The sequence below is a fragment of the Homo sapiens genome, chromosome 17 (assembly GCF_000001405.40).
Source record: "Homo sapiens chromosome 17, GRCh38.p14 Primary Assembly".
In the NCBI taxonomy this organism is placed as follows: domain Eukaryota; kingdom Metazoa; phylum Chordata; class Mammalia; order Primates; family Hominidae; genus Homo; species Homo sapiens.
In genome coordinates, this window is record NC_000017.11 from 60,877,941 (window position 1) to 60,901,574 (window position 23,634).

A 23,634-nucleotide genomic window follows, 5' to 3' on the forward strand; every position below is an offset into this window, starting at 1 on the left:
CATTTCTGGGAATAAATGTTGGAAATAAGTGTAATTAACTATGTATATAAGCCCAGTAATGTCTTTTTTTTTCTTTTTTTTTTTTTTGAGATGGAGTCTCACTCTTTTGCCCAGGCTGGAGTGCAGTGGCATGTTCTTGGCTCACTGCAGCCTCCACCTCTTGGGCTCAAGCAGTTCTCCTGCCTCAGCTTCCCAAGTAGCTGGGACTACAGGCAGGCACCACCACGCCCGGCTAATTTTTGTATTTTTAGTAGAGATGGGGTTTTACCATGTTGTCCAGGCTGGTCTCGAACTCCTGAGCTCAGGTGATCTGCCCGCCTTGGCCTTCTAAAGTTCTGGAATTACAGGCATGAGCCTCCATGCCCGGCCAGTAATGTCTTTGAGGAAAGATGTTCTTAATTTTAATATAGTTGTCAGAAGGTAGGATGGTGCATGTCTTGGGAAGAATAGGGACTGAAAGGGAGTGTAAGAATGTGCTTTGGGGAATCTATAATGTCCTTTTTTTGTCTGGTTGTTATTTATGTGTTCAATATGTGTACACTTTGTTGATTTGGGTAATGCTGCATGTATATTATATTTCAACATGCACTTAATATGAAAAAGTTCAGAAAGCAACAGTAACATATGTTTGTGATTTCTTTCTTCATACTCTGGATACAGTTTGATGTAGCATTTCACCACAGGTCCCCCTTACCTGTTCATCTACAAATACCCTTACCAATAGTGGTAATGTATTTTATTTCATATTTCTGTGAGGAAGTATGTCATTCTTAGTTACAAATTATTTTTCTTGAAAACCCTAGGGGTCAAATTTATGCATATGACATATGATTTTAGGTTGGTAAGATTGATGATATTCTGTAAATATTTGAATGAAGGAATTTGGCCGATTTTCTTTGAAATTACAGCTTCCTCTAAAGTGATTTATATCAATATTTAGAACAAAATTTACCATGACCAGATTTTTAAAATTAAGGAACAAAGGGTGCCACTTCATAAGTAGAAAGAATCTTATTTTCCTCCAGTTTCTCCCCTTCTCCCTGTTCCTTTATACAGACTGAAACTTTTGTCAGGTGAATCCCATGCCTGTAAGCTGGTTTTGCCTGTTAGACTGAAAGGTATAGGATATAGAGACTGGAGGATAGGATACTGGGATGTAGGGAGCAGGTGGGACAGGGCATACTGAGATAGCATTTGTGGTAGTTCATTTGCCTGTAGCACATAGTTTTTCTACATTTATTGGTACCTAGTTCTTAAGGTAGGACCATAGCCCATGTTGAATGACAAGATCTCCACTTAATGAGGTTGTTGTTTTGATCATGCAAGCAGTTATCTTCTAAAATAGTTTGAAAAGGTTTTGTATAATACCTTTTTAGTGCATTGGTTATATGTGAATACAATGAAGGGACTGTAAAATAAGTAGAGACAGCTGTGTCCATCAGAGCAAGCATCATGGGAATTTGTGCCAAAGGGTGGAAGGAACAGGTAAAGAGAGCTGATAGAGGACTGTTAATGGAACGCATCCAATATGATGAGAAAGGAGACACCTTTGTATTTGGATATAAAGAAAAAGTCGCCTTGAGCAGCTGTCTGATGTGGAAATCCAAAACCCGTGTATGATTAGGAAAACAAAAGACAAAGACCGATAGATGTCATTAGCAGTCATTTTCAGTGTTCTTAAATTGAAAGGTAGATATGAAGTCTCCAGAGAGATCAAAGGAGTGTACAGTAAGCAATCTTGTTCCATTGGCCTCTGTTTTTACTTGGAGGAGAAAACTTATTTCTTATAATCTTAGTGTTATTTCTTGGTTTTAATGTGTTCTTCATTTATGTTAATGATTAATAACAAATAGAACAAATGGAAATGCAAAGTTTACTTTAAAATGCAAAATTATCTTTAAGTTTTGAAAGAGGAGCTCTGCTTTTATGTGAAGAAACAAGTTTGTAATATTTATGAGAATTCATTGATAGGTTAGTGTGAGTTCTAAGTTCAGCTTACATTAAAAGTTAAACCTATCTTTGTTTTTCTGAGTTCTCCATAAGATGGAAAAGGTTACTATGATGTTTTTAGGGCATGTGCTGGTGCTGGAATCATAGTGGACACTCAGTGAATATATATGCAGTGAACTAACTTGTGACTTTTTCATTCTCTGCACACAATTCTCACCCATTGAGTCTTAGAATGGCAGTACTCATGAAATTCATTTTAAACTAAAAACTCATAAAACCTTATGAGAGTCCTTAATCAGCTGTATGATGGTTAAACACATCTGTGAAATGGTATTTAATGTTTTATATGCTTATGTGTTTTTCTGGGGAGGATGTTCACTTTTTTTTTTTTATTGTTGTTGTTGTTTGTGTTTTTTTGAGATGGAGTCTCGCTCTGTCGCCAGGCTGGAGTGCTGTGGCACAGTCTCGGCTCACTGCAGCCTCCATCTCCCGGCTTCAAGTGATTCTCCTGCCTCAGCCTCTCAAGTAGCTGGGATTACAGGCGCATGCCACCACACCCAGCTAATTTTTATATTTTTTAGTAGAGACAGGGTTTCACCATGTGGGCCAGGATGGTCTTGATCTCTTGACCTCATGATCCGTCCTCCTTGGCCTCCGAAAGTCCTGGGATTACAGGCGTGAGCCACCGCGCCTAGCCATATGCCACATTTTATCTGATCGTTAGTTGACAGATATTTAGTTTGTTTCTACTTTTGGGCTGTTGTAGATAATGCTTGTATGGACACTAGTGCACAAGTTTTTCAGTGGACATATGTTCTCTTGGGTATGAACATTTAGCTACAAGTTTTTGTAATTTTGAAATTTGAATTTCCCTGATGGCTAATGACACTGACCATTTTTAATGTGCTTATTTGCCATTTGTATATCTCTGTCCATTTTTAAATTATTTGTCTTTTCAATACTGAGTGGTAATATTTTATATTCTAGATATGTCACTTATCAGATATATCTTTTTGCAAAAAATGTTCCCTCATTCTTTAGATTGTCTTTTCACTTTCTTCTTTTTTTTGTTTTGTTTTGTTTTGTTTGTTTGTTTGTTTTTGAGACGGAGTCTCGCTCTGTCACCCAGGCTGGAGTGCAGTGGTGCGATCTCAGCTCACTGCAAGCTCCGCCTCCTGGGTTCACGCCATTCTCCTGCCTCAGCTTCCCGAGTAGCTGGGACTACAGGCGCCCGCCACCACACCCTGCTAATTTTTTGTATTTTTAGTAGAGATGGGATTTCACTGTGTTAGCCAGGATGGTCTCGATCTCCTGACCTTGTGATCCGCCCACCTCGGCCTCCCAAAGTGCTGGGATTACAGGCGTGAGCCACCGCACCTGGCCTGGTCTTTTCACTTTCTTTATGGTGTCTTTTAAAGCATGTTAAATTTGCATTTGTTTTGATGAAGTCCAATTTATGTATTTTTCTTTTGTCCTATATAAGAAACCATTGCCCAATCCAAGGTCATGAAAATTTACAGTATTTCATTCTAAGAATTTAATTGTTTAACTTTTTTTTTTTTATTATACTTTAAGTTTTAGGGTACATGTGCACATTGTGCAGGTTAGTTACATATGTATACATGTGCCATGCTGGTGCGCTGCACCCACTAACTCGTCATCTAGCATTAGGTATATCTCGCAGTGCTATCCCTCCCCCCTCCCCCCACCCCACCACAGTCCCCAGAGTGTGATATTCCCCTTCCTGTGTCCATGTGATCTCATTGTTCAATTCCCACCTATGAGTGAGAATATGCGGTGTTTGGTTTTTTGGTCTTGCGATAGTTTACTGAGAATGATGATTTCCAATTTCATCTATGTCCCTACAAAGGACATGAACTCATCATTTTTTATGGCTGCATAGTATTCCATGGTGTATATGTGCCACATTTTCTTAATCCAGTCTATCATTGTTGGACATTTGGGTTGGTTCCAAGTCTTTGCTATTGTGAATAATGCCGCAATAAACATACGTGTGCATGTGTCTTTATAGCAGCATGATTTATAGTGCTTTGGGTATATACCCAGTAATGGGATGGCTGGGTAAAATGGTATTTCTAGTTCTAGATCCCTGAGGAATCGCCACACTGACTTCCACAATGGATGAACTAGTTTACAGTCCCACCAACAGTGTAAAAGTGTTCCTATTTCTCCACATCCTCTCCAGCACCTGTTGTTTCCTGACTTTTTAATGATTGCCATTCTAACTGGTGTGAGATGGTATCTCATTGTGGTTTTAATTTGCATTTCTCTGATGGCCAATGATGATGAGCATTTTTCCATGTGTTTTTTGGCTGCATAAATGTCTTCTTTTGAGAAGTGTCTGTTCATGTCCTTTGCCCACTTTTTGATGGGGTTGTTTGTTTTTTTCTTGTAAATTTGTTTGAGTTCATTGTAGATTCTGGATATTAGCCCTTTGTCAGATGAGTAGGTTGCGAAAATTTTCTCCCATTTTGTAGGTGGCCTGTTCACTCTGACGGTAGTTTCTTTTGCTGTGCAGAAGCTCTTTAGTTTAATTAGATCCCATTTGTCAATTTTGTCTTTTGTTGCCATTGCTTTTGGTGTTTTGGACATGAAGTCCTTGCCCATGCCTATGTCCTGAATGGTCATGCCTAGGTTCTCTTCTAGGGTTTTTATGGTTTTAGGTCTAATGTTTAAATCTTTAATCTATCTTGAATTGATTTTTGTATAAGGTGTAAGGAAGGGATCCAGTTTCAGCTTCCTACATATGGCTAGCCAGTTTTCCCAGCACCATTTATTAAATAGGGAATCCTTTCCCCATTGCTTGTTTTTGTCAGGTTTGTCAAAGATCAGATAGTTGTAGGTATGTGGCATTATTTCTGAGGGCTCTGTTCTGTTCCATTGATCTATATCTCTGTTTTGGTACCAGTACCATGCTGTTTTGGTTACTGTAGCCTTGTAGTATAGTTTGAAGTCAGGTAGTGTGATGCCTCCAGCTTTGTTCTTTTGGCTTAGGATTGACTTGGCAATGCGGGCTCTTTTTTGGTTCCATATGAACTTTAAAGTAGTTTTTTCCAATTCTGTGAAGAAAGTCATTGGTAGCTTGATGGGGATGGCATTGAATCTGTAAATTACCTTGGGCAGTATGGCCATTTTCACGATATTGATTCTTCCTACCCATGAGCATGAAATGTTCTTCCATTTGTTTGTATCCTCTTTTATTTCCTTGAGCAGTGGTTTGTAGTTCTCCTTGAAGAGGTCCTTCACATCCCTTGTAAGTTGTATTCCTAGGTATTTTATTCTCTTTGAAGCAATTGTGAATGGGAGTTCACTCATGATTTGGCTCTCTGTTTGTCTGTTGTTGGTGTATAAGAATGCTTGTGATTTTGGTACATTGATTTTGTATCCTGAGACTTTGCTGAAGTTGCTTATCAGCTTAAGGAGATTTTGGGCTGAGACAATGGGGTTTTCTAGATATACAATCATGTCGTCTGCAAACAGGGACAATTTGACTTCCTCTTTTCCTAATTGGATACCCTTTATTTCCTTCTCTTGCCTAATTGCCCTGGCCAGAACTTCCAACACTATGTTGAATAGGAGTGGTGAGAGAGGGCATCCCTGTCTTGTGCCAGTTTTCAAAGGGAATGCTTCCAGTTTTTGCCCATTCAGTATGATATTGGCTGTGGGTTTGTCATAGATAGCTCTTATTATTTTGAAATACGTCCCATCAATACCTAATTTCTTGAGAGTTTTTAGCATGAAGGGTTGTTGAATTTTGTCAAAGGCTTTTTCTGCATCTATTGAGATAATCATGTGGTTTTTGTCTTTGGCTCTGTTTATATGCTGGATTACATTTATTGATTTGCGTATATTGAACCAGCCTTGCATCCCAGGGATGAAGCCCACTTGATCATGGTGGATAAGCTTTTTGATGTGCTGCTGGATTCGGTTTGCCAGTATTTTATTGAGGATTTTTGCATCAATGTTCATCAAGGATATTGGTCTAAAATTCTCTTTTTTGGTTGTGTCTCTGCCCGGCTTTGGTATCAGAATGACGCTGGCCTCATAAAATGAGTTAGGGAGGATTCCCTCTTTTTCTATTGATTGGAATAGTTTCAGAAGGAATGGTACCAGTTCTTCCTTGTACCTCTGGTAGAATTCGGCTGTGAATCCATCTGGTCCTGGACTCTTTTTGGTTGGTAAACTATTGATTATTGCCACAATTTCAGCTCCTGTTATTGGTCTATTCAGAGATTCAACTTCTTCCTGGTTTAGTCTTGGGAGAGTGTATGTGTCGAGGAATTTATCCATTTCTTCTAGATTTTCTAGTTTATTTGCGTAGAGGTGTTTGTAGTATTCTCTGATGGTAGTTTGTATTTCTGTGGGATCGGTGGTGATATCCCCTTTATCATTTTTTATTGTGTCTATTTGATTCTTCTCTCTTTTTTTCTTTATTAGTCTTGCTAGCGGTCTATCAATTTTGTTGATCCTTTCAAAAAACCAGCTCCTGGATTCATTGATTTTTTGAAGGGTTTTTTGTGTCTCTATTTCCTTCAGTTCTGCTCTGATTTTAGTTATTTCTTGCCTTCTGCTAGCTTTTGAATGTGTTTGCTCTTGCTTTTCTAGTTCTTTTCATTGTGATGTTAGGGTGTCTATTTTGGATCTTTCCTGCTTTCTCTTGTGGGCATTTAGTGCTATAAATTTCCCTCTACACACTGCTTTGAATGCGTCCCAGAGATTCTGGTATGTTGTGTCTTTGTTCTCGTTGGTTTCAAAGAACATCTTTATTTCTGCCTTCATTTCGTTATGTACCCAGTAGTCATTCAGGAGTAGGTTGTTCAGTTTCCATGTAGTTGAGTGGCTTTGAGTGAGATTCTTAATCCTGAGTTCTAGTTTGATTGCACTGTGGTCTGAGAGATAGTTTGTTATAATTTCTGTTCTTTTACATTTGCTGAGGAGAGCTTTACTTCCAACTATGTGGTCAATTGTGGAATAGGTGTGGTGTGGTGCTGAAAAAAATGTATATTCTGTTGATTTGGGGTGGAGAGTTCTGTAGATGTCTATTAGGTCCGCTTGGTGCAGAGCTGAGTTCAATTCCTGGGTATCCTTGTTGACTTTCTGTCTCGTTGATCTGTCTAATGTTGACAGTGGGGTGTTAAAGTCTCCCATTATTAATGCGTGGGAGTCTAAGTCTCTTTGTAGGTCACTCAGGACTTGCTTTATGAATCTGGGTGCTCCTGTATTGGGTGCATATATATTTAGGATAGTTAGCTCTTCTTGTTGAATTGATCCCTTTACCATTATGTAATGGCCTTCTTTGTCTCTTTTGATCTTTGTTGGTTTAAAGTCTGTTTTATCAGAGACTAGGATTGCAATCCCTGCCTTTTTTTGTTTTCCATTTGCTTGGTAGATCTTCCTCCATCCTTTTATTTTGAGCCTATGTGTGTCTCTGCACGTGAGATGGGTTTCCTGAATACAGCACACTGATGGGTCTTGACTCTTTATCCAATTTGCCAGTCTGTGTCTTTTAATTGGAGAATTTAGTCCATTTACATTTAAAGTTAATATTGTTATGTGTGAATTTGATCCTGTCATTATGACGTTAGCTGGTGATTTTGCTCGTTAGTTGATGCAGTTTCTTCCTAGTCTCGATGGTCTTTACATTTTGGCATGATTTTGCAGCAGCTGGTACTGGTTGTTCCTTTCCATGTTTAGCGCTTCCTTCAGGAGCTCTTTTAGGGCAGGCCTGGTGGTGACAAAATCTCTCAGCATTTGCTTGTCTGTAAAGTATTTTATTTCTCCTTCACTTATGAAGCTTAGTTTGGCTGGATATGAAATTCTGGGTTGAAAATTCTTTTCTTTAAGAATGTTGAATATTGGCCCCCTCTCTCTTCTGGCTTGTAGGGTTTCTGCCGAGAGATCTGCTGTTAGTCTGATGGGCTTCCCTTTGAGGGTAACCCGACCTTTCTCTCTGGCTGCCCTTAACATTTTTTCCTTCATTTCAATTTTGGTGAATCTGACAATTATGTGTCTTGGAGTTGCTCTTCTCGAGGAGTATCTTTGTGGCATTCTCTGTATTTCCTGAATCTGAACGTTGGCCTGCCTTGCTAGATTGGGGAAGTTCTCCTGGATAATATCCTGCAGAGTGTTTTCCAACTTGGTTCCATTCTCCCCATCACTTTCAGGTACACCAATCAGACGTAGATTTGGTCTTTTCACATAGTCCCATATTTCTTGGAGGCTTTGCTCATTTCTTTTTATTCGTTTTTCTCTAAACTTCCCTTCTCGCTTCATTTCATTCATTTCATCTTCCATTGCTGATACCCTTTCTTCCAGTTGATCGCATCAGCTCCTGAGGCTTCTGCATTCTTCACGTAGTTCTCGAGCCTTGGTTTTCAGCTCCATCAGCTCCTTTAAGCACTTCTCTGTATTGGTTATTCTAGTTATACATTCTTCTAAATTTTTTTCAAAGTTTTCAACTTCTTTGCCTTTGGTTTGAATGTCCTCCCGTAGCTCAGAGTAATTCGATCGTCTGAAGCCTTCTTCTCTCAGCTTGTCAAAGTCATTCTCCATCCACCTTTGTTCCGTTGCTGGTGAGGAACTGCGTTCCTTTGGAGGAGGAGAGACCCTCTGCGTTTTAGAGTTTCCAGTTTTTCTGTTCTGTTTTTTCCCCATCTTTGTGGTTTTATCTACTTTTGGTCTTTGATGATGGTGATGTACAGATGGGTTTTCGGTGTGGATGTCCTTTCTGTTTGTTAGTTTTCCTTCTAACAGACAGGACCCTCAGCTGCAGGTCTGTTGGAATAACCTGCCGTGTGAGGTGTCAGTGTGCTCCTGCTGGGGGGTGCCTCCCAGTTAGGCTGCTCGGGGGTCAGGAGTCAGGGACCCACTTGAGGAGGCAGTCTGCCGGTTCTCAGATCTCCAGCTGCGTGCTGGGAGAACCACTGCTCTCTTCAAAGCTGTCAGACAGGGACATTTAAGTCTGCAGAGGTTACTGCTGTCTTTTTGTTTGTCTGTGCCCTGCCCCCAGAGGTGGAGCCTACAGTGGCAGGCAGGCCTCCTTGAGCTGTGGTGGGCTCCACCCAGTTGGAGCTTCCCGGCTGCTTTGTTTACCTAAGCAAGCCTGGGCAATGGCGGGCGCCCCTCCCCCAGCCTCGCTGCCGCCTTGCAGTTTGATCTCAGACTGCTGTGCTGGCAATCAGCGAGACTCCGTGGGCGTAGGACCCTCCGAGCCAGGTGTGGGATATAGTCTCGTGGTGCGCCGTTTTTTAAGCCGGTCTGAAAAGCGCAATATTCGGGTGGGAGTGACCCGATTTTCCAGGTGCGTCCGTCACCCCTTTCTTTGACTCGGAAAGGGAACTCCCTGACCCCTTGCGCTTCCCAGGTGAGGCAATGCCTCGCCCTGCTTCGGCTCGCGCACGGTGCACGGTGCGTGCACCCACTGACCTGCGCCCACTGTCTGGCACTCCCTAGTGAGATGAACCCGGTACCTCAGATGGAAATGCAGAAATCACCCGTCTTCTGCGTTGCTCACGCTGGGAGCTGTAGACTGGAGCTGTTCGTATTCGGCCATCTTGGCTCCTCAATTGTTTAACTTTTATATTTAAGCCTTTGATCCATTTTTGTATGTGGTATGAGATAGGGGTCCACGTTCATTCCAGTCCAAATGCTTTTGCATTTGGATATCCAGTAGTCCCAGCACCGTTTGTTGAAAAGACTTCTTTCACCATTGACTTGTCTTGGTATTCTTGTTGAAAATCAGTGGACTTATAAATGTAAATAACTGTTTTCTTTAAAAAAAGGGCTCAGACTTTTTATTTGTCCTTGCCAGGAGAAATAAGGCAAAGTATCACAGAGAGCAGTTCAGTTTTTTTGTTTTTTGAAATGAATTCAGGTCACCTCTCCATTAGGACCACTTTCTGGGAGGATGCCATCTAAAATTGCATCATGCTTGTGTACCTTCTTAATTACTTTTTTAGTAATGGACAAATATAGTGTGCTTCTAAAAATTTTTTACCTTCATTTAAATTGGGAAATGAATTCTTTTAACATCCAGTTCTCTTTGTCCAATAAAATTGTAAACATGTTAGAATTAGGCCTAGTATTATAGAGATTCATGTCCCCCCAACCCCTTCACTTGTTTTCAGACTTTACCTGGAGGCAAAGATTAATCTTTAAAAGAGTCATGCTTATAAGGTTGGGATGGTGCTGAGTGGCTTATGTTCTGCTGATTCCAGCTATAAAGCATTCTTTTGGCAAGCAGGAAAACAGTTGTTTTCATTACAATATACTGTAATTCTTGAGGTCCACTGAACTCTAAAAATACGGACTCAAAAAATGAAATGAAGAATTGTAAACTGTGTTTTTCCTTAGGACCCTTTTGTATTTGTGAGGTTAAAGTGGTTATCAGAATTTATTGAGAGTTAGATTATTTAGTTTTAAAGCTAATTCAGGAGATTCTCTGTGTCTAATGTAACACCACTGTTCACAAGTACTTGGTTCTATTTTTCATGACGAATTTTAAAAGGGGAAAAACTTTCTTATAGATCATATTTATCCTCATTTCTCCAGCTCTGAAATTGTCAGCGGAATACATGTATACATACTCATATAAAATTATATTTTTAATGAATAAGATTAATCTATTCAATGGTCTAATCTATTGTGTAAATACTACACAATTTATATTACAGTATGTTGTCTTTTTATAATTTTTAGTGTGTTTTTGTCCTATATATGTTTCCATAATATGCATTTAATAGATAATAGTAATATTACAGTTAACCTGAAGTCAGTTTTCCGGAAACCCTAAGTATTGCAAACATACTCCTTCAAACAGTAGCATGAATGAACAGTTTTTTAAAAAGGGAGCAATAAAATGAGAAAGCTTTTATTTTGTTTATGTGGACTTTCTTTTAGGGTCTGTCTCTTCTCTATAAGTTTATTATTTTCTTTTCAAGACGAAAATTCAAAATAGATGGCAGTTTAGGGAGCTAGGCTAAAAATGGCTGTGTACTGGAAGTGACAGTAAGGTGTGCTTCTTTAGTGCTTTTGAGCATAGCAATAGGAACATAGTCAGAATGACTAGGGAGTGGCAGCAGGGAAGAGTCAGCGGCGAAGAAAACCGATTCTTCAATTTACACATCCCTGTAATCAAGTTGGAGGAAGATAGAAAATAAACAGTAAATATATGTCATAGAACAATTAACTGTTGTTATTGGCTAGAACTGCAAGCAAGAAGAATGATATTGAGTGAAATGTAAATACAAAGGATTATGCAGTTCCCTAACATCTTTCTGTGGAGGCAGACTTTCAGAGTTACTTGTCTTCATTGGCCTCAGTGAGGTCAAATACTTGTTCTTTTTCTCTCCTCATTGTAGTATCATGTCTGATAGTCTCATTTATCTTTTGCCTTTAAATTCCTGAACCCATCATATCATTTCTCTCTCCTCTCCCAAAATTCTTCCTTGATTTATGAATGTTAGACTTAAAATGGCCCTGTTAACTTCATTCTCATGTTTAGGAATAACTGTATAAAATGCCCAGTGTTTGCTGAAAGTGATGACCAGTTCTTTCCAGATTTGTTTCTTATTGGGACAGAGTTAAGCCAAAAGGAAACTAAATAGAGGGGGAAAAATGCACCTTACTTAGCTAACAAAATAATGACTAGTGTTACAGGAATTTTATGTGAGACTTGAAAAAATATAAGCATTTGATTTTTCTGTTTTTCTGGCATCGATATATGATGCACCAACAGAAAAGTTATTAAGAAATTTCTCAATAGTGCCATTTGAAATTTTTCAGGCTGCTATCCATGTCCAGGGCCAAACATGAATCCTATTGCTCTTGGGAGCCGCTGGCTTGCTTATGCAGAAAACAAGGTAAGACGTGGCCTGTGTTTGGATTATTTGTAATGGAGCAAGTGTTGAAGGATTTTCCATAAAAAATACCTGTGCTCCATAGTTGATTACCAATAATAAATGTTTTACTTACTAGTTCATTTGCTTTGGTTTGGTTTTAATTGTGCAACTAATAATTGAACTCGTTTAAGAATTTATAAATGTTTGGCAGTTGTCATTAAGTCCAGACTCTGTAGAACCTTAATTGTTTTAGCTTGGTTTTATATAGAGAACTTCATTCTATTAATTTGCAGCATTGAGATGACCACAGTAGTGGTATTAAGGAAAGTAGTTTTTGACTTTTTAGAAATCAGGAGGCAGGAGTAACTTCTGTCTTCATTGGTAGATTAGAAACCTGGGCATAGAATAATTTAATTGACAAGGCTAGGCGTGATGGCTCACGCCTGTAATCCCAGCACTTTGGGAGGCTGAGGCAGGTGGATCATTTGAGGTCAGGAGTTCGAGACCAGCCTGGCCAACATGGTGAAACCCCGTCTCTACTAAAAATACAAAAATTAGCCGGGCGTGGTGGCATGCGCCTGTAATCCCAGCTACTCAGGAGGCTGAGGCAGGAGAATTGCTTGAGCCTGGGAAGTGGAGGTTGTGGTGAGCTGAGATCGCACCACTGCACTCCGTCTGGGCAACAGAGTGAGACCCTGTCTCAAAAAAGGAAAAAAAAAAAGAATAATTTAATTTACATTAACTATATGCTAACAACTATATCTAAATAAGGGTTCAGCCATTTGTTTTAATAGTTAAATCACACATGTTCACATTTTGTTGACTTCTTCGGTTATTTATCAATTTATTTATTAAGGTCATCATAATAAGTGAAGATACTATATGCACTAGGAATTTTACTTATGTCTGATTTAAGGAAAAAGGTAAATTTGAATCTTCAAAAAGAAAGATAAAATTCTTTTAATTCCATTTAGTACCCTGCATGTGAATATAGAATGAAATCTTCTAAAAGAATATTACTATTTTTGGTTTCGTTTTTGCTAGTTGCATAGTTATTGTATCTTGAGATTAATATGAATTAATATGAAATAGTTCTTGACAAAATTAGGATGTGGTAAGTAAAGTAGTTATTTGGTAAAGCCAAATCTACTAAATTTCTAGCCTCTGGAATGTACAAAAATCAAGAAACTACTGAAGAAAATTATTTTTCTGCATAAATTCTTTGAGATCTTATCCATAAATCTGTCTAACTACTAGATATGTTACATCTTCCTGAATTCTGTATTTATATTCCATTTTGTTTTTTCTCTTGATTTTCCAGTATATCTTGTAAAAATAGCTCTTTCAAATTATTCTTTTCAAACAAAACAAGGCATACAAGTAAGTGTAGTGACACAATGGTATCTTCTAATGTTTCTATCTGTAAAGCATTTCCCTTGAGTGCTGGAAACATTCAAGACAAAGATGTATAAATTGTCCCTTGGTTCTTGTGGATGTATTCTCACATATGGGGAACTGCCCATTTGGAAGTGGAGGTAATATGTAAGTAGTTACATATTGCCTTTGAGGGGAAAGAACTCCCTTCATAGATGCATAGCCTGAATATGCACCAGTTGTTTTCCCTCTTCAGGAATACATGTTAATATCTGGTGTCATGTACAGAGACCAGACAACGTAGTGGCCTTCACAAGGAGTTTGTGAGTCAAATGTCGTGCTTTCATCTCAAAATATTTCTAGATAAATGTCCTTACATAGTATTTTCATAAGAGCTAGCATTTATTAGTTTCTAATTGTTTTAGCTTTGGGGCTGAGTATAGAATTGTAAAATTGAATTAAATTTTGGGGTACCAGTCTCTTTCAGTGAAAATGCTCTTTGACTATAAAATCTTAAGAAGCCGTATATCTTTGTTTAGTTTTGAGATTCACAGGGTACACGTGCATGTTTGTTACACAGGTATATTGTGTAAGGGTGGGGATTCAGCTTCTAGTGTATCCATCATCCAGATATTGAACATTGTACCCCATAAGTGATTTTTCAACCCTCAGCTGCCTCTTCCCTCCCCCTTTTGGAGTCCCCACTGCCTATTTCCATTTTCATCATCATGTGTACCCATTGTTTAGCTCCCATTTATAAGTGAGAACATGCTATTTTTGATTTTCTGTTTCTGAGTTAGTTCACTTAAGGTAATGGCCTCCAGCTCCAAGCATGTTGCTGCAAAGGACATGATTTCATTCTTTCTGTGGTTGCAAAGTATTCCATGGTGTGTATAACCATATTTTCTTTATTCAAATAATCAGCTGCTGATAGACACCTAGTTTGGTTCCATGACTTTGCTATTGTGACTAGTACTGCGATGAAAATACAAGTGCCTGTCCTTTTTAAATTAATGATTTCTTTTCCTTTGGATATATACCCAGTGGTGGGATTGCTGGGTCGAATGGTAGTTCTATTTTTAGTTCTTTGAGAAATCTCCATACTCTTTTCCATTTACATTCCCACCAACAGTGTATAAGCATCCCCTTTTCTCCATATTCCTGTCAACATCTGTTGTTTTTGACTTATTTTTTTTTTTTTTTTTGAGACAGAGTTTTGCTTTTGTTGCCCAGGCTAGAGTGCAATGGCATGATCTCGGCTCACCGCAACCTCTGCCTCCTGGATTCAAGTGATTCTGTCTCAGCCTCCCAAGTAGCTGGGAGTACAGACATGCGCCACCATGCCTGGCTAATTTTGTATTTTTAGTAGAGATGGGGTTTCTCCATGTTGATCAGGCTGGTCTTGAACTCCCAATTTCAGGTCATCTGCCCGCCTCGGCCTCCCAGAGTGCTGGGATTATAGGCATGAGCCCCAGCGTCCGGCCGTTTTTGGCTTTTTAAGAATAGCCGTTTTCGGCCCGGCATGGTGGCTCATGCCTATAATCCCAGCACTTTGAGAGGCCGAGGTGGGTGGATCACGTGAGGCCAGGAGTTCGAGACCAGCCTGGCCAACATAGTGAAACCCTGTCTCTACTAAAAATACAAAAAATTAGCTGGGTGTGGTGGTGGGCGCCTGTAGTCCCAGCTACTCGGGAGGCTGAGGCAGGAGAATCACTTGAACCCGGGAGGTGGAGGTTGCGGTGAGCCGAGATCATGCCATCGCACTCTAGCCTGGCCAACAAGAATGAAACTCTGTCTCAAAAATAAAAATAAAAATAAAAAGTCGTTTTCACTGGCATAAGATGGTATCTTGGTGTGGTTTTAAGTTGCATTTCTCTGAATATTAGTGATGTTGAACATTTTTTTTTCATTTGTTTGTTGGCCATTTACATTCTTTTTGAGAAATGTCTGTTTATGTCCTTTGGGGTTTTTATTGGAGTTTGTTTTTTTCTTGTTCAGTTGTTTGAGTTTCTTGTAGATTCTTAGTTGGATGCATAATTTACAAATATTTTCTCCCATTGTGTAGTTTATCTGTTTACTCTATCGATTATTTCTTTTGCTGTGCAGGAACTTTTTAGTTTAATTAAGTGTCATTTGTCTATTTTTGTTGCATTTGTTTTTGGGGTCTTTGTCATAAATTCCTTGCCTAGGACAATGTCTAGAAGAGTTTTTCCCTAGGTTTTCTTCTAGGATTTCTATAGTTTCAGGTCTTACATTTAGGTCTTTATTCCATCTGAGTTAATTTTTGTATATGGTGAGAGATAGGGGTCTGGTTTCATTCTTCTGCATATGACTAGCCAATTTTCCCAGCTCCGTTTATTGAATAGGGTGTCCCTTCTCCATTGTGTATTTTTGTCAACTTTGTTAACAAAATATCAGTTGGTTATAAGTATCTGATGTTATTCAGTTCTCTGTTCAGTTATCTTGACCTATGATCTTTTTTTTTTTTTTTTTTTTTTTTGCACGACAGAGTGTAGCTCTGTTGCCAAGGGTGGAGTGCAGTGGCGTAATCTCTGCTTGTTGCAACCTCCGCCTCCTGGGTTCAAGTGATTCTTTCACCTCAGACTCCTGAGTAGCCGGGACTATAGGCACATGCTACCACACCTGGCTAATTTTTGTATTTTTAGTAGAAATGGAGTTTTATCATGTTGGCCAGGCTGGTCTTGAACTCCTGACCTCAAATGATCCACCCACCTTGGCCTCCCAAAGTGCTGGGATTGCAGGCATGAGCCACCATGCCCAGCCTATGTGTCTACTTTTGTACCAGTACCATGCTGTTTTAGTTACTGCAGCCTTGTAGTATAGTTTGAAATCAGGCAGTGTGATGCTTCCTGATTTGTTATTTTTGCTTAGGACCGCTTTGGCCATTTGCTGCCCCACCCCATTTTATTTTATTTTATTTTATTTTTTGCTTCCCTATGAACTTTAGGATAGCTTTTTCCAATTCTGTGGAAAAAACATTAATAATTTGATAAGAATTGTGCTGAATCTATAGATTTCTCTGGCCAGTATGGTCATTTAAATCATATTGATTCTTTCAGTTCATGAGCTTGGGATGTTTTTCCATTTGTTGGTGTTTACAATTTCTTTCATCAGTGTTTTGTAGTTTTTTCTTGTAGAGATCTTTCATCTCCTTGGTTAAATTTCTTCTTATATATATATTTTCGTAACTATTGTAAATGTGATTGCCTCTTTGCTAGATCATTATTGGTGTATAGAAATGCTATTGAATTTTGTATGTTAATTTTATATCCTGCAACTTTACTGAATCCGTTTACCAAATCTAAGATTTTGTGCGTGTGTGTGAAATCATTAGGTTTTTCTAGATACAAGATCATGTCATCAGCAAAGAGGGGCAATGTGACTTCTACTTTTCCAATTTGGATGCCTTTTCTTTCTTTCTATTGCCTTGTTGCTTTGGCTGGGACTTCAGTACTGTGTCGAATACGAGTGGTGAAGTTGGCATCCTTGTCTTGTAGTAAATCTTAGAGGAAAGGCTTTTAAATTTTCCCCATTCAGCCTGATGTTAGCTGTGGTTTTGTCATATATGGTCTTTATTATTTTGAGATAATTTCCTTCTATGCCTAGTTTGTTAAGAGTTTTTATCATGAAGGGATGTTGAATTTTATTAAATGCTTTTTCTTGTATCTATTGAGATGATCATATGGTTTTTGTCCTTCATTCTGTTGATGTGATTATCACTTATTGATTTAGATATGTTGAACCATCCCTATGTCTCTGGAATAAATCCCCCTTGATTGTGGTCTATTATATTTTTGATGTGCTGTTGGTTTTGATTTTCTAGCATTTTCTTGAAGATTTTGGTGTCTGTGTTCATCAGGGATCTTGGCCTATAGTTTTCTTTTTTGTGGCATCCTTGTCTGGTTTTGGTATCAGATGATGTTGGCTTCATAGAATGAGTTAGGGAGAGTTTCTTCCTCTTTTATTTTTTTGGAATAGTTTCAGGAAAATTGGTGATCTCTTTTGTACATTTGGTAGGATTCAGCTGTGAACCTGTCTAGTCCTGGGCTTGCTTTCTGGGAGACTTTATTACCTACTCACTCTCACTACTCATTATTGGTCTGCTCAGATTTCTGTTTTTTCCTGATTCAATCTTGTTACGTTAGGTTGTATGTTTCCAGGAATTTATCAATTTCCTCTAGGTTTTTCAGATTTTCAGTGTATAGCTTTTTATAATAGTTTGCTGATCTATTGTATTTCTGTGGTATCAGTTGTAATGTTCTCTTTTTCATTTCTCATTTTGTTTATCTGGGTCTTTCCTTTCTTGGTTAATCTAGCTAGTGTTTATCAATTTTGTTTATCTTTTTGAAGAACCAATTTTTTATTCATTGATCTTTTGTATTGTTTCATTAGTCTATTTTGCTTAGTTCTACTCTGTTTATTATTTCATTTCTTCTGCTAATTATGGGTTTGGTTTATTCTTTTTTAGCTCCTTTGGGTGCATTGTTAGATTGTTAATTTGTAATCTTTGTACTTTTTTGATGTAGGCGTTTATTGTTGTAAACTTCCGTCAGCACACCTTTTGCTGTATTCCACAGTTTTGGTATGTTGTGTTTCAAGATCATCATTTGTTTCAAGATTTTAAAGAATTGACTCAGTAGTGTTCAGGGGCATGTTATTTGATTTCCATATGTAAAGTTTCCAGAGTCCCTTTTGGTATTTATTTCTAGTTTTAGTCCATTGTGGTCTGAGAAGATACTTGATATGATTCAGTCTTTAAAAGTGTATTGAGACTTGTGGCCTAACATATGGTCTATCATGGAGAATGTTCTATGGGCTAAGAATGTATATTCTGCAGTTGTTGGATAGAATGCTCTATAAGAGTCTATTAGGTCCATTGGGTCTAAAGTCCAGTTTAAGGCCAGGCACGGTTGCACATGCCTGTAATCCCAGCACTTTGGGAGGCCAAGGCGGGCCAATGACTTGAGGTCAGGAGTTCAAGACCAGCCTGGCCAACATGGCAAAATGCTGTCTCTACTAAAAATACAAAAATAGCCAGGCATGGTGGCGTGTGCCTGTAATCCCAGCCACTTGGGAGGCTAAGGCAAGAGAACCATTTGGACCCAGGAGGTGGAGGTTGTGGTGAGCTGAGATCACTGCACTCCAGCCTAGGTGACAAAGCAAGACTCAGTCTCAATAAATAAATAAATAAAGTCCAGTTTAAATCCAATGTTTCTTTGTTGATTTTCTGGCTAGATGATCTGTTTAATGCTGAGAGGAGTTTTGAAGTCCCCCACTATTACTGTATTTCAGTTTATCTCTCTCTTTAGATATAGTATATACTAATATTTGCTTTAGGAATCTGTGTGCTCCAGTGTTGAGTGCATATATATTTAGAACTGTTATATCCTCTTGCTGAATTGATCCCTTTATCATTATATAATGACCTTCTTTGTCTTTTTTTTTTCCAGCTGTTTTTGACTTTAGAGTCTGTTTTATCTAATATAAGTATAACTACCCCTGTTCACTTTTGGTTTCCATTTGTGTGGAATATCTCTTTTTTTTTCCCCTTTACTTTTAGTCTACATATGTCTTTATGGTAAGGTAAGTTTCTTGTAAGGAGCATATAGTTGGGTCATTTAAAAAAATCCATTTAGTTATTCTGTCTCTTTTAAGTGGATTATTTATTTTATTTACATTCAAAGTCATTATTAATATGTGAGACTTTGTTCTTATATTGTTGATTGTTTTCTGGTTATTTCGTATATTTTTGGTTTCATTCTTTTTCTCTTATTGTTTGATGTTATGGTTTGGTGGATTTCTGCAGTGGTACTCTTTGAGTTCTTTCTCTTTCTCCTTTGTGTCTTTGCTTTACCAGTGAGTTTCATAGTTTGGTGTGTTTTTGTGATACTAAATGTTGTCCTTTCACTTCCAGGTTTAGGGCTACTTTGAGCATGTCTTGTAGGGTCAATATAGTGATAATGAATTTTCTCAGAATTTGCTTGTTGGAAAAAATGTCATTTCTCCTTCATTTATGAAGGGTAATTTTGCTGGATACAGTATTCTTGACTGACATACTTTTTTCTTTCAACCCTTTGAATCTATAATTCCATTGTCTTCTGGCTTGTGAGGTTTCTGCTAAGAAATCTACAGTTAATGTGATGAGGTTTCCTTTATATGTGACTAGACACGATTTTTTCTTGCTGCTTTTAGGATTCACTCTTTATCTTTGATTTTAGACAATGACTATAATGTGCCTTAGAGAAGACCTTTTTCCATTGTATCTGCCTGGGGATTGCTAAGCCTGTTGTATCTGAATGTCCAAACTTTTGTTAGACTTGGGAAGTTTTCATCTATTATTCCATTAAATGTGCTTTCAAATTTTTTCTTTCTCTCTTCAATGTCAGGAATACTTATAATTGTAATATTTTGACACTTTATGTTTCCCCAGATGTCATAATGTCTTCGCTTATTTTTAAAATTCTTTTTTCTTTATTTTTATCTGACTGGATTGTTTCAAAAGATCTGTCTTCAAGTTCTGAGATTCTCCCTTTTGCCTGATGTAGTCAGTTTTATTTTACTTATTTATTTATTTATTTAGAGACAGGATCTCACTGATCTTACTCTGTCATCCAGGCTGAAGTTCACTGGTGCAATCACAGCTCACTGCAGCCTAGACCTCCAGGGCTCAGGTGATCCTCTTGCCTAAGCTTCCTGAGTAGCTGGGTCTACAGATGTGTGCCACCACACCAGGCTAATTTTTTTAATTTTTATTTTATTTTTATTTTTTTTTTTGGTAGAGATAGGGTCCTGCCATGTTGCCCAAACTGGTCTTGAACTTCTGGGCTCAAGCAATCTTCCTGCCTTGACCTCCCTAAGTGTTGGGATTACAGGCATGAGCCACTGTACCTGGCCAGAATTTCTCTTTGACCCTTTTAAAAATTATCTGTCTCTTTGGTAAATTTCTCATTTATATTCTGAATTGTTTTTCTGATTTTTCTGTATTGTTTTTCACAGTTCTCTTGAATCTCACAAGGTTGTTTTAAATTATTATTTTGAGTCCTATAAATGGGCTCTCATAAATTTCTTTTTGATTAGAATCTGGCTGGAGAGTTATTGTGTTTCTTTGGAGGCATCATATTTTATTTTTCATGTTTCCTGTGTCTTTACATTGATATTTGCACATCAGGTGCAACAGTTACTTCTTCATATTTTTACATTTACTTTCGTAGAGGACTTTTTTTATTAATGAAGATATATCTATAGTACTGGTTGGATAGGACACTTTGGTCTTGATTCTGGGTGTGTGCGGTAATGTAGTCTGATTTTTTTTTTCTGTATACATCATTAGGGGTATTTATTATTTACTTAATGAATTAGGGTGTGATTATTAGTGGTGGCTGTGGTGAAGTTTTGCTGGAGACTGGGATGCCAGGTTGACTGGTCATCAGTATGCAGTGGTGGCAGCATTGGGCTGAGTGTGCCTATCCTTGTGCCCCAGAGTAGTGTACACTGGCACCTATATTGGTGGTTACAAGTGGGCTGATTGTTGGTCTTCCAGGTAGCTTGCTTGGATGCTGGTAGTGGCAATGGTGAACAGTATGGGTGGGCTGGTTCCTGAGCCCCTGGGCAGCCAGTGTAACATGGGTGATAACGGTAGCAGTGGCAAGATAATTATTTTTGTTCCTAGTGGCGTGTGTTGATGTTGGTGGTGGCTGCAGTGGTCTGGGGGTTCGGGAGGTAGTCTCCAGGCCTGTGGTTGGAGCTTGCAGGTAGGTGCCAGCTTTTGAGGCAGTGGCAGGGAGATAAGGCCCAACCTCAGACCCCCTGGAGGAGTGCTTATGTACCCAAAGAAGTGGATTGGTTTGGGCAGTCCCAAGGACCCTGGGTTATGAGTTCTGTCTTTGGGGGTTGAAGGCAGAACTAGGCTGGGTGGGCTTGTTCTCAGGCTCCCCAATGATGAGAGCAGATACCAGCCATGGTGGGTGGGGACAGGGTAATCCTAGGATCAGTTTTTGGGTGAGGGGCCCTGAGGCTGCTTATGGAGAGGGTAGGTCTGGCCTCAGTGGCCACAGCTAGGCTGGTAGGTGGGGAAAATGTGTCTCTTTCACACCCCAGTCCCAGTGGGGCTCACCCCCCAGTCCCGGTGGCAATGGCATATACCTGTCTCACCCCCATCCCTGGCTGCAGGAGCCTCTGCCCAGCTCGCAACCAAGTCTTAGTGGCAACTCATGCCTGCTCATGTCTCAGTCTCTGGCCTGGCAGCACTTGCTTCCCTGCATTGGTAGCTGCTACAGCCAATGCTTTACTCGATTCTCAGCCCCTAGTGCGGGAATGAGCCCAGATCACACCCTAGTCCCAGCAGTGACAGCCTGAGATTTTTTTTTTCCTGAGATGGAGTCTCGCTCTGTTGCCCAGGCTGGAGTGCAGTGGCGCAATCTTGGCTCACTGAAACCTCCACTTCCTGGGTTCAAGCAGTTCTCCTGCCTCAGCCTCCTGAGTAGCTAGGATTATAGGCATGCACCACCATGCCTGGCTAATTTTTGTATTTTTCATAGAGACAGGGTTTCACCATGTTGACCAAGCTGGTCTCTAACTCCTGACCTTGTGATCTGCCCACCTCAGCCTCCCAAAATGCTGAGGTTACAGGTGTGAGCCACCACTCCAGGCCCCTGATTTTTTTTTTTTTAACACCTCAGTCCCAGTGCTGCTAGGCCCCAGAGCAGCATGCCATCTGCCAAAAACCAGGTTTGAAAATGATGTCTTGCTGGGCATGGTGGCTTGTGCCTGTAGTTCCAGCTACTTGGGAGGCAGAGGTAGGAAGATTGCTTGAGTTCAGGAGCTCTGGGCTGTAGTGCACTATGCCAATCAGGTGTCTGCACTAAGTTCAGCATCAATATGGTGACCTCATAGGAGTAGGGGACCACCAGGTTGCCTAAGGAGGGGTGAACCAGCCCAGGTTGGAAATAGAGCAGGTCAAAATTCCCATGCTGATCAGTAGTGGGATTGCACCTATGAATATTGCACTCCAGCCTGTGCAACATAGTGAGACGCTGTCTCTTAAAAAAAAAAAAAAAGAAAGAAAGAAAAGAAAAAGAAAATATTGTCTTGCTATAGCCACTTAGGTATCAGAAAGTGTATAGGACCCAGTACAAGCTCCCTCCCTGGAGCAGTTCTGTTGGAGAGTCTCCTGGCAGCTCCCTATGTTAAGTTTCAGGGCCTGGGAGGGTAGAGGGTCTCTTTCCTGGCTAAGATTGCATGGTTCCATGGTTGGGGATGTGGGCCGCTGGAATTCTCTTACTTACCCTTGCCTTGTGTTGGGAAGCCACTCCCAGCTCCCAGCCTATCCTAGCCAAGCAGGCTACTTGTCTTCCTTCTCCTACCCACTTTTGGTGTTTCCTGTTAGTTCTCTGTTGAATTCCAGTGTTTTACCTTGGACAGTGTATTTGAAGTGTGATTCTCTATGCACTATTTTGGTTCTTCTAAGTGGAAGAGGTGAGCATGAAATGGTGTTTGACCAAAGTCTATATCCCTTTCATTCACAAATGATAACGTATATATGCTCTTTGGCAAACTGCTTTTTTTTTTCTTTTGCTTAACAATATTTCCTGGAAATTAGTTCATTTGATAGAATTTTGCACTATTTCTATAGTGCAAAATTCTGACTCATCTTTGATTTTGTTGAACCAAGATACAAATGTAATTTTCTGATGATTCTAAATTTAGACCAAAATTTCTGACTTAGTTACTTTTGTGTAGAACTGCTGACTCAGTTGTAGTTGAATTTGAAAGGTAAGAATAGGGCTGGGCGTGGTGGCTCACTCCTGTAATCCTGGCACTTTGGGAGGCTAAGACTGGTGCATCACTTGAGGCCAGGAGTTTGAGACCAGCCTGGCCAACATGGGGAAACCTCGTCTCTACTAAAAATAAACAAAAAAAATCCAGGCGTGGTGGCATGTGCCTGTAATCCCAGCTACTTGGGAGGCCGAGGCGGGAGAATTACCTGAACCCAAGAGGCAGAGGTTTCAGTGAGCTGAAATCATACCACTGCACTCCAGCCTGGGTGACGGAGTGAGACTCTGTCTCTTAAAAAAAAAAAAAAGAAAGGTAAGAGTGTTGTTGTTGTTGTTGTTGTTTTTTACATATTTGTCCTTGAGTATTTTAATTACCAGAAGCAGGGAATAAGTAATAGCCTTTCTTTTCTTGCTTATGCAGCAGGAGGCAGCAGAGGAATAATTTTCATAATTATTTGAATGTGTATTTGTGGATGAATGAGTGAGCAAGAGAGAGATTCTTTTTATTTGCTAAAATGATCACTTTTCAAATTCTTTATTGTACTCTATGTGAAACCACATTTGATGATCACCTGACATTTGGAAAATTCCTCACTTCTCTCTTTCAAATCTATTTAAGCAGTCATTCAGTGTGATGTAACAGAGATTGCTTAAAA

General features: G+C 39.4%; 1 protein-coding gene and 1 pseudogene across 8 annotated transcripts in view; both read left to right on the top strand.

Annotated features, from left to right (window-relative positions):
• The window catches only part of BCAS3 (BCAS3 microtubule associated cell migration factor), a 714,981-nt gene that overhangs the window by 200,090 nt on the left and 491,257 nt on the right, over positions 1 to 23,634 (top strand). For all 8 annotated transcript variants that reach the window (NM_001353144.2, NM_001353145.2, NM_001330413.2 and 5 more), the window contains exon 10: positions 11,755 to 11,831. In NM_001353144.2, coding sequence (NP_001340073.1) covers positions 11,755 to 11,831 — 77 coding nt within the window. The remainder of the gene's footprint in view (positions 1 to 11,754; positions 11,832 to 23,634) is intronic.
• On the top strand, positions 21,951 to 22,245 carry RN7SL448P (RNA, 7SL, cytoplasmic 448, pseudogene; annotated as a pseudogene).